Raw genomic sequence first — 10293 nt, forward strand, 5'->3', positions numbered from 1 at the left:
AACCTCCTAAGTAGCTGAGATTGTAGGTGCACCTGCCGCCACACCTGGGTAATTTTTGTATTTTTAGTAGGGATGGGGTTTCACCATGTTGGTCAGGTTGGTCTCAAACTTCTGACCTCAAGTTATCTGCCTGCCTCAGCCTCCCAAAGTGCTGGGATTACAGGCGTGAGCCACAGCGCCCGGCTATATAACATTTTTCAAAGGATTCTGGTACTTGAATTATCAAACACTGAGGCAATTGAAGCAAAAAATATTATCATTTGTGTGAGTTTGTCATTTATGAAACTTTCATGATTTATAAAAACAAAAACCTCTCTCATGAATTAGGAAAATGACATAGTCATGGATAGTCAATTGAAAGAATATTTCACTCAGTTTCTTACAAGTCATAAGAAGCGTTGGTCATTGACTGAAATAAGAAGTGAAGAGTTGAAATACATGTCTAAGCTTGTATGTATAGATTATGAACTACCTCAAATATCAATTTACGTGGACTCTTTGAAAATTTCTCAATACAAATTTTCTCTTAATGGCATTATAATTATTCTAATTGAGACATAAATTTTTGTAAACAAAAGATATAGCCATTGGAGATTATTGTCTAACATTGTAAAAAGAATATTTAAATTACAACGTTGTAACAAGAAAACAGCCATAATTGCTTGCCACATAATGACTCTGGCCAGCCTTTTGTCATTGATTCAGACTCCTCATTACACAACTGTGAGGAAGATAAGCTTGATAAGAGCAAAGATTTCCTAAAATGTCCCCAGTTGTAGAACTAACACAATTCATCATTTTGTTTCATAAGAAGACCAATAGAAAATTACATATTTTAAAACTGAGTGTCCAAAAAAGCATTTTTTTTTTTTTTTAGTTCTCATGTCCTATATTCTGTTCCAATCACTTTTGTCTTCTTGCTGCATTTGGACACAGATGAGCACACTACTGTCTCAGGGCCTTGCACCTGCTGCTCCCTCTGCCTGCCATACTCCTCCTGACATCACTATGCTTTACTCCATCCCCCTTCTTTCAAGTTTCTGTTTAAATATCTCTTCATCAGAGAGACCTTCCCTGACCACACATTGCAAATTATCAACTACTTCTTTTACAAAATCCAGCACTCTCTCCCGCTTTACCCTGCTTTACTTTTCCTCCTACCCCTTTGCACCATTTTTTATGTTATGCATTTACTGATTTACTGATTTTCTGGTTCTGCAATTAAAATTAAAGTTCCACAAAAGCAGAAACTTGGCCTGTTTTGTTAGTGTATTCCAACACCTAAAACTATGCTTGGCTTATGATTGTTGCTCGAATAAAGATTTGTTAAATGAATGATTAAAGTCAACATCAGCTACTTAGAGAAGCTATTATGATTCTTCCATACAAATCTTACAGCAGAGGAACTACTACATATTCTCAATTTTTAAAAGCGATATATGTATTTGAATATTTCAAGTTTTAATTTCAGTGGCTTACTTTGAGGATTTTTTTTTTAAGGTGAGTTGCACTTTGTATGGCTGAATAGAGATATGTGTTCTTCCGACATATAACCCCTTCACCCTCATAAGATTATTTGTATGCCCCTGGATTGTTGGGAGGATAACCCCATTAACAATGTGTCACTTGTTGTTTCTGGGTAATCAGATTCCCATTATCAGCAAATTAAAATATTCCATATTTTTTCATTTTCCACTTTCTAGATATAGGTCCTAGACTTACTGAAAGCTACAAAGAACAGCCATAATGACAGGCTTGCCATAATTTCCAGAGTTGTCTTATACGTGTCATATGCCTCTTTAATCTATTTGGGGGAAATAGGCAGTTCCTGAAGGTTTTTAATTTTTAGGGATTTGGAGAGAGGGGTCGTGTTTAGAGTGACAATTTTGGAATAATCCGTATTAGTATTCTGCGAATGGTGTGATTGTGGCATATATATCTTCCTACTGCTGCTTCCTCTTCCTCTGGTTTTGCTTCACATTCACACAATTTCAAGGGAGAATACTTGAGATTATTGCCTCTAGTTTTCAATAATTCAAACTGTACTCTCATCACCCATAGTGAATTCCTTGGTCACCTAATTAGTATAAGATTATATGTATCTATTATAGAACTTAATATATCATAGTTTAGATTTGTGTTTAGCAACTGCAACTGTGATTAGCAGCTGTGTAACTTTAAGTTTCATCATTTCCTTGTAAAATGGACATAATAGTTACCTCACAATTGTGAGAATTTAATAAGATAATTTTTTTAAATTCAACATATATGTAAATTTCACACAAGTAGTTTTTGGACACCTGTTAATATTTTTTACTTATCTTTAAAGAAGAATTATTTAGAGAAACTTCAAAAATTCACCCTCTTTTTGTAATAATGGCAATATTAATAGTCGTTACATGCCTTTTTTGTTAATTACAATATTAGTGAATATTAATTATTTATTTTGTGCAAGATACTATGCTAAGTACAACATATACTTTATCTCCCTTAAGCATCACAACAGTAGGATGTAGGTACTATTTTATTCTCCTCATCTTAAACCTGAGAAAACTGAAATTTATAAGAGTCAAATAATTTATCCAGAAGTCACACAGGTCCTAAATGACAGAGGAATCTGAGTCCAGGTTTATTATATCCCATCCTTTTAACCACTATGCCATATTCCTATTTTATGAGTGTCTTTGACAGTAAAGTATTTGAATGCACAAAGATATATAAGGATTCTATATACATATACTATATCTCTCTATATATTTAGCATATACAGATATTACATACATTCATATGTATTCAGTTCCACTCTATTAAGAATATTTGTCAATTACTATATGCCACAGTCTTTGTTAAATACTGTCATATATGCAACCATAAATCTAATATAATCCTTGACTTCAAGGAGCAGTCTGTGTGTGTGTGAGAGAGAGAGAGAATATATTCTTTAGTGTCCATAAATGTCAGACTGAATAGTTGAACTGAGATTTTAAAATATTTCAGCAAATACATTAATCATACAAAATTAGTTAATGGGAAATTATTCCTAGAGGTTAAACTGTAGGGCAGCAAAAATGATATTCTTTATGATACAGAGAAAAAGTGTGTATGTAAGCACATAATATAGAAAACTGGGAGGAAATATTAAGGGCAAAATAATATTTGTGACTACAATAATCTCCATATACAGGCATATCTCATTTTATTGTGCTTCACTTTATTATGTTTTGCAGTTACTGAATTTTTGGAAAACCCTCCATTGAGCAAGTTTTTTTTGTTTGTTTATTTGTTTGTTTGTTTCCAACAGCATGTGCTCACTTAGTGTCACAATGTCACATTTTGGTAATTCTCACTACATTTCAAACATTTCATTACAATTTTGTCTGTTATGATGACCTGTGAAGAGTGATCTTTGATGTCACTATTGCAATTGTTTTGGGCTCCATGAACTGCATCCATATATGATAGCAAAATTAATCAACAAAAATATGTGTTCTGACTGCTCCACCAACCAGCCCTTCCCCCATCTCTTTTCCTCTCATTGGGTCTTCATATTCCCTGAGACACAACAATATTGAATTTAGGCCAGTTAACAACTCTACAATGGTCTCCAAGTGTTCAAGTAAAAGAAAAAGTCACATATCTCACTTTTAAAGCTGAGAAATAATTAAGCTTAGTGAGGAAGGCATGTGAAAAGCTGAGAAAGACTGAAAGCTGGGTGTTTTGCACCAAATAGCTAAGAAGGGAATGCAAAGGAAAAGCTCTTGAAGAAAATTAAAAGTGCTACATCAGTGAAATCACAAATGATAAGAAAGTGAAGCAGCTTTATTGCTGATATACAGGAAGTTCTAGTGATCTGAATAGAACATTAAACCAGCCACATTTCCTTAAGCCAATGGCTTATTCAGAATAAGATTCTAACTCTCTAAAAAAGGATTCATTTCAAATATTACTGTTCATTGGCAACGTACCTAGTCACCCAAAGTTCTGATGGAGAGGTACAAGGAGATGAATGTTGTTTCCATGTGTGCTAACACAACATCCATCCTGCATCCCGTGATCAAGGAGTAATTTCTACTTTTAATTCTTATACTTTAAGAAATACATTTTGCAAGGCTCTAGTTGCCATAGATAGTGATTCCTCTGATAGTCCTGGGCAAATTAAATTGAAAACCTTCTGAAAAGTAGTCATCTTTCTAGATACCAATAAAACCATTTGTGATTCATGGGAGGAGATCAAAATATCAAAGTTAACAGGAGATTGGAAGAAGTTGATTCTAATCCTTATACATGATTTTGAGGGGTTCAAGACTTCACTGGGGGAAGTGAATACAGACGTGGTGAAAAAACAGCAAGAGAAACTAGAATTGGAAGTGCAGCCTGAAGATGTGGCTGAATTACAGCAATCTCATGATACAGCTTAAATGGATGAGGATTTAATTCTTATGGATGAGCAAAGAAAATTGCTCCTTGAGATGGACTCTACTCCTGGTGAAGATACTATGAATATCGCTGAAATGACAACAAAGGATTTAGAATATCATATAAGCTTAGTTAATACTGCAGCATCAGAATGTGAGAGGATTGACTTCAATTTTGAAAGAGGTTTTTCAGGGGTTAAAATGTTATCATATAGCATTGCATGCTACAGAGAAATCTTTTGTAAAACAGAAGAGTTAATCTATGTGCTAATTTCATTGTTGTCTTAAGAAACTGCTGCAGCCACCCCAACCTTCAGCAAACGCCACCCTGCCCAATCAGCAGCCATCAACATTAAGGCAAGACCCTCCACCAGCAAAAAGATAACTTGCTGAAGGCTCAGATGATTGTCAGCAATTTTTAGCAATAAAATATTAATATTTTTAAATGTTCTCTTTTTGCCTTTTAGTTAAACTAATTAATTAGCTCTCATATATATTTTTTTTATTTCAACAGCTCTTAGAATACAAGTGGATTTTGGTTACATGGATGAATTGTACAGTGGTAAAGTCTGAGATTTTAGTGCACCCATTACCAAAAGTAGTGTGCATTGTACCCAATATATTATTTTTAAATCTCTTACACCCCTCCCATCCTCTGTCCTCTTCTGAGTCTTCAAAGTTTATTATATCACTCTGTATGCCAATAAATATTTTAAAATTAATATATGTAAATTGTTATGCATAATGTCACTGCATACTTAACAGACTACAGTATAGTGTAAACATAACTTTTACATGCACTGGGTAACCAGAAAAAACTGTGTGACTGACTTTATTGCAATACTCACTTTTATTCAGTGGTCTGGAACCTAACCCGCAATATCTCCAAGGTGTATCTGTAAAGAGACTAAACCCTAGATTATTGGAGTAAAAATGGAGGTCTACAGTCTATGGGTTTGATGTAATTTGACATGGAAGGACTTTGATAAATAAACCAATGAAACATTTCTTCCCATTTTTTAACTAATAGACAAGGAAAAGAAAATCACCTGAGGCATGAAGGAAGTTGGCCATATTGACACATTGTTATAACAAGAATGTAGTGTCTTGATTTCCCGCCCTGTGGTCTTTCCCATTATATGTGTATTATTTCCACGTATTCATATAGAGAAGAAAATTATAGCTCTAGACAAGGCCTCAGAATTTTTAGTAAAGTGGGTCTCCAGGTAGCCCATAACAATTGATCAGCATTTTTACATGTGATCAAAGCTATTTGCCCTTGTTGATATCCTAGGAAAAACTGAGGGCATTAGACTGGAGCATTTAGTTGTAGTAAGAAGTCTAACGATGACATAGTTCCAGGAAACACACTTAGCTTACCAATGTCTCAGTTTCCTTACCTATATAATGGAGACAACAGTGCTCTACTTTTCCTCAGTTACGGAATGATTGTAAGATTAAGTGAGATAGTATATGAGCATTCTAAGAGGAAAATAAAAGCTTTAATAATACCTACACCAACACAAGGTATTATAGTTATCTATGCATGGGAAATTTCCTACCAATATTGTGTAAGGCTGTTCTTGCATTTCTATAAAGAAATATCTGAGACTAGGTAATTTATTTTTAAAAAGAGGTTAATTGGCTCACAGTTCTGCAGACTACAGGAAGCATCATGCTGACATCTGCTCCTGGGGAGGCCTCAGGATCCTTACAGTCATGACGGAAGGTGAAGCAGGAGCAGGCACTTCATATGGCAAAAACAGCTGGGAGAACAAGAGAGTAGTGGGGCGGTGACACACACTTTTAAATTACCAGGTCTCCCAAGAACTAACTCAATATCACAAAGACAGCACCAAGCCATAACGGATCCACATGATCCAAACACCTCTCACCAGGCCCCACCTCCAGTATTAGCGATTACAATTCAGCATGAGATTTGGGTGGGGACAAATATCTAAACTATATCAAAAGCCCAAGTCCAAACTTCTTCCCTTCCCCCTTTTTTTTAACCTACAAGGTTCTCCTTTTTCTTATCTATAAAATGTCACTAATAATACTTATAGAACTATGAGGATTAAATGAAGAACATATACAAAAGGCCCTAGCATAAGTTTTTGGCGGAATTCAAACTCAATGAAGTGTTATTATTAGCCTCCTCACTAGCCACCTCTCTGGCCAGTGCTAGCATAGTTATTGTTGGGTTGACTCTAATCCCTCAGCATAAATGAGCATGTTTCAGCCACATCCACATAAAAACCAGGAAATAAAATCTGGTAAAGGTTTGAGGTTCCCTGGATGGTGATGTATGGGACTGGTTATATTAGTTATGATGTTTTATTTCAGAAAAGCCAGAAAGGGGATACATGTGAGCAGAAAGAAAAGTGAGATCAAGTCATTGATAATCCAGAGGGCTACAAGTCTATGACAATGAAAGTATGGTAATGATATCATCATCATCATCATCAGCAAAGCTAACATGTATTGAAGGCTTGCTAGCTGGCGGACACTACACTAATCTTTTTGTATGTATTATTTTACTTAGTCCTATTTACAATCTTAAGAAAGCCTATTTTATGGCAAGAAAACAGAGACTTGGGGAAATTAAATAATTTACCCCAAATCAAAAATACAAAGTAATAGAGCTAGAATTTAATGCAGACATAACTAAATCTTATTCACATAATTAATATAAAAGCCAGACTATGGTTCATTAATCCAATAGGCTTTTGTTGACTGCAAAGAAAAGGAGGATGGAATAATAAAAAATGAAGGCCTTTGGAAGTAGAATTTCCAGATTAAACACAGGATGCCTCATTCAACTTGGATTTCAGTTTAAGGAGATATAATATTTTAGAATTATTACGTATCAAATATTATATACCTGAAATTCAAATGTATCTCTGGGGTTTATTTGGTACATTTGGAACCTTATTTATTTGGAAGTAGTGAGGAAAGAGCAAGTGAAGTAGGTTTTACTCAGTAAAATATGTACATAAGGGACATTTTCTGGCTACACTGGGGGGGCATAATTTAAGAACATGTCTAATGCAAGCTGCTCAATCTCTTTATTTCATAGAAAAATAAGGCTTTCACAAGATCTAGAATTTTTCCTATAAATATGGCTTTCTATCAGTTTTGTTTTGTTTCCTATCAGATTTTTCTTTTAGGTCATGGAGTGTCAGAGAATCTAATAGAAGCTCTGGACTATCTCTCCATCAAAAACTTAAACACATGCTCATAGTTCCTCTCTCAAAGTCAATAGTGATCATTTAAAACTCATGCTTTAAACCATCAAAAGAAGACAGCAGCTGGACAATGTGCCTTGAAGTCAGAAAGACATGTCTCACACAGCAGTGCATTGATAAATGTTTAAACTGACCTGCTGGGGAAGGAGAGCCCTGATTTACACCACCTGCCAATTTCCATGGTATAAATACTCCTGCTATGGCTGATTTCAAGCTACTTTCATAGCATCACCAAAATATGGAGTTGGGAAGAAATACATAATAGCACACCATTGTATGGAGTGTCATATGTATATGGTAGATGTAAAAACCCCTCAAGAATATAGATAATAGTAAAATGTAAGAAAGTCATTAGGATGTAATGAGTTTTCAGTAATTATTATCTTTTTTTAATATAACATATTTAATTGTAAGTGAGTCTACACGATTTAATTTTTAATACTGGCCATGTTTGACAAATCGCTTGCAAAATCCCTGAAAAATTCTCACTGCCTCAGCCTGTCACTGGCTTGACCCCTCCTCATGGAATTTGTAACTAAGTCTCTTGGTTAACATAAAAATGAGAGAGAAGGTATTTAAAGCACTTAGAAGTTTCTGACAAGAAGCAAGAAATTGTAAGTGATTTTACTATTGTTGTTACTACTATTAATGTGTAACTTTACTCACAGGAGCTATGTTTCTTAGTAAGTAACACAAGATAATTAATATTCTTGTGTAATTTTTCTATGTTACCCTTTAAAAGGGCGGATAGTTACACTCTGCTCCTTCTAGTGCCTAAGGCATGTTCTGACAGTAAATTCAATTTTGAAAGGTACACTATCTCACTACAAAATACCTAAGTTCAAAATATCACAATATTAATGGAAATTGTCAATTTCAATATAATATACTTCATGAGCCATACTGTGTATATTCAACTTCCCTGGAAGAGTACATGATTTTTTTCAAAGTATAGCAGGGGTTCACTTGGGCACTGAAGTTTATTTGTTTATTTTCTTTTATCCACACTATCTGCCAATTTTAGGTGCTCAGAGAATCATTGGATCTCTATTTATATTTATATGCTCTCATTAAAACAGTAATCCTTGCTGGATTTTTAAATTTATTAAATAATATATTTTCTTCTCTTGTTCTGGTTTCCTTTTCCATTCTTAAATGTGACATAAATATTTAAAGTATTTCTGTTTCTGTATGGTTACCTAAGCATTCAGACACAAGGAGGGAGCAGCAAAATAAGTAAACTGTCTTTTTAAGTTTCAGAAATTGTCCCTTTGTTTCTATAATATGTTACAGTATGTCTGTAAACTGCAGACACTGTGTTTCTCTATATCAATTTCTTAAAGCAGGATGAAACTGTAAGGATCCCTTCTATAAGGTCATCATTTATAGAATAACCAAAAATGTGATCAATCAAGTCATTCCAATGGAGCAATAGCCAGTATGACCTCAACAGACTTTGGCTTTTGGAGCCAGATCGCTTCAGTGACAGACATAACCCTGGTGGGTCGGCAGCATCCTTCACTGCTCACTCTGCCATCTGCCACTGTGGAAACTTCATCATTAAAAGCAGAGTTGTTGCTGGACAAATTTGCAAATGGTTTTGGGAGCATTATTATTGCACAGAACGTTACCATCTGTAAGTAGGCAAATCTGAATTACAGTATATGTCTACCTAACTCTCTTACTCTACATATAACTTAATAGAAAATTTACATGCATTAGTCTCAAAACCGGGAACATTTCCTTTGCTATTATGAAATTATAGCCCTGCAAAGGACTTCCAGAGCTTAGCTTTATGCTTTTAAATATACCTGCATTTAAACCATCACAAATCAAAGAATATTTTATTTTGCGTTTAGTTGTCTATCCTTATTCACAAAGTATTTTTAATTATTTAATATCACTTACATTATTATATTACATTATAATATTATTATCACATATTCACATTTAAATATATCTTTTTAAGAAACGCTTCAATTTTGTCTATGACACTGTACCAGGCAATTTGGATACCATGGAATAAGTTATAAAGAGTATACAAACAATGTAATGGCAACATTAAGTGAGAATTTCCAACTTAGAAGCCAGGCACTATATATATTTATATTCTCTAAGTCCTACTGCATTGAATTAGAATTACTATAATTATAGTTATTGAATTAGAATTATATAATATTTTACATAGCTATATTATTAATAAGATGTTATTATTATTGCTATTGTACAGGCAAAGTAACAAGGCAAAGAGAGGTACACTGATTGCTCAAGGTCACAAAGCAAATTCATGAAGCATTTCATATTTTTTGAACAGTACTGTATTTTTGAAAAACACAGAGCATAGACGTTAAATCCCTCCCCCAGCACTCCCCGACTCCCATTCTTCAAGTCTCGACTCAAATGTTGCATACTTCAATCCCTCAGGCAAGATTAATTACTTCTCTTTCTATATCTCCACAAAACTTCGTTCATAACTTCATCACAGCCCTCATAACATCAGATTATTTTAAATTGCATGTATCAGTCTATTCCACTAGAATATAAGTGCTCAAAGGCTTGACTTACTTTGCTGCATGAATGAAAGTCTCCTTCTGCAAATTGTGATGATGTGTTGTTTAACATTAGCCAGT

This window comes from Homo sapiens, chromosome 4, assembly GCF_000001405.40.
Source record: "Homo sapiens chromosome 4, GRCh38.p14 Primary Assembly".
NCBI lineage: Eukaryota > Metazoa > Chordata > Mammalia > Primates > Hominidae > Homo > Homo sapiens.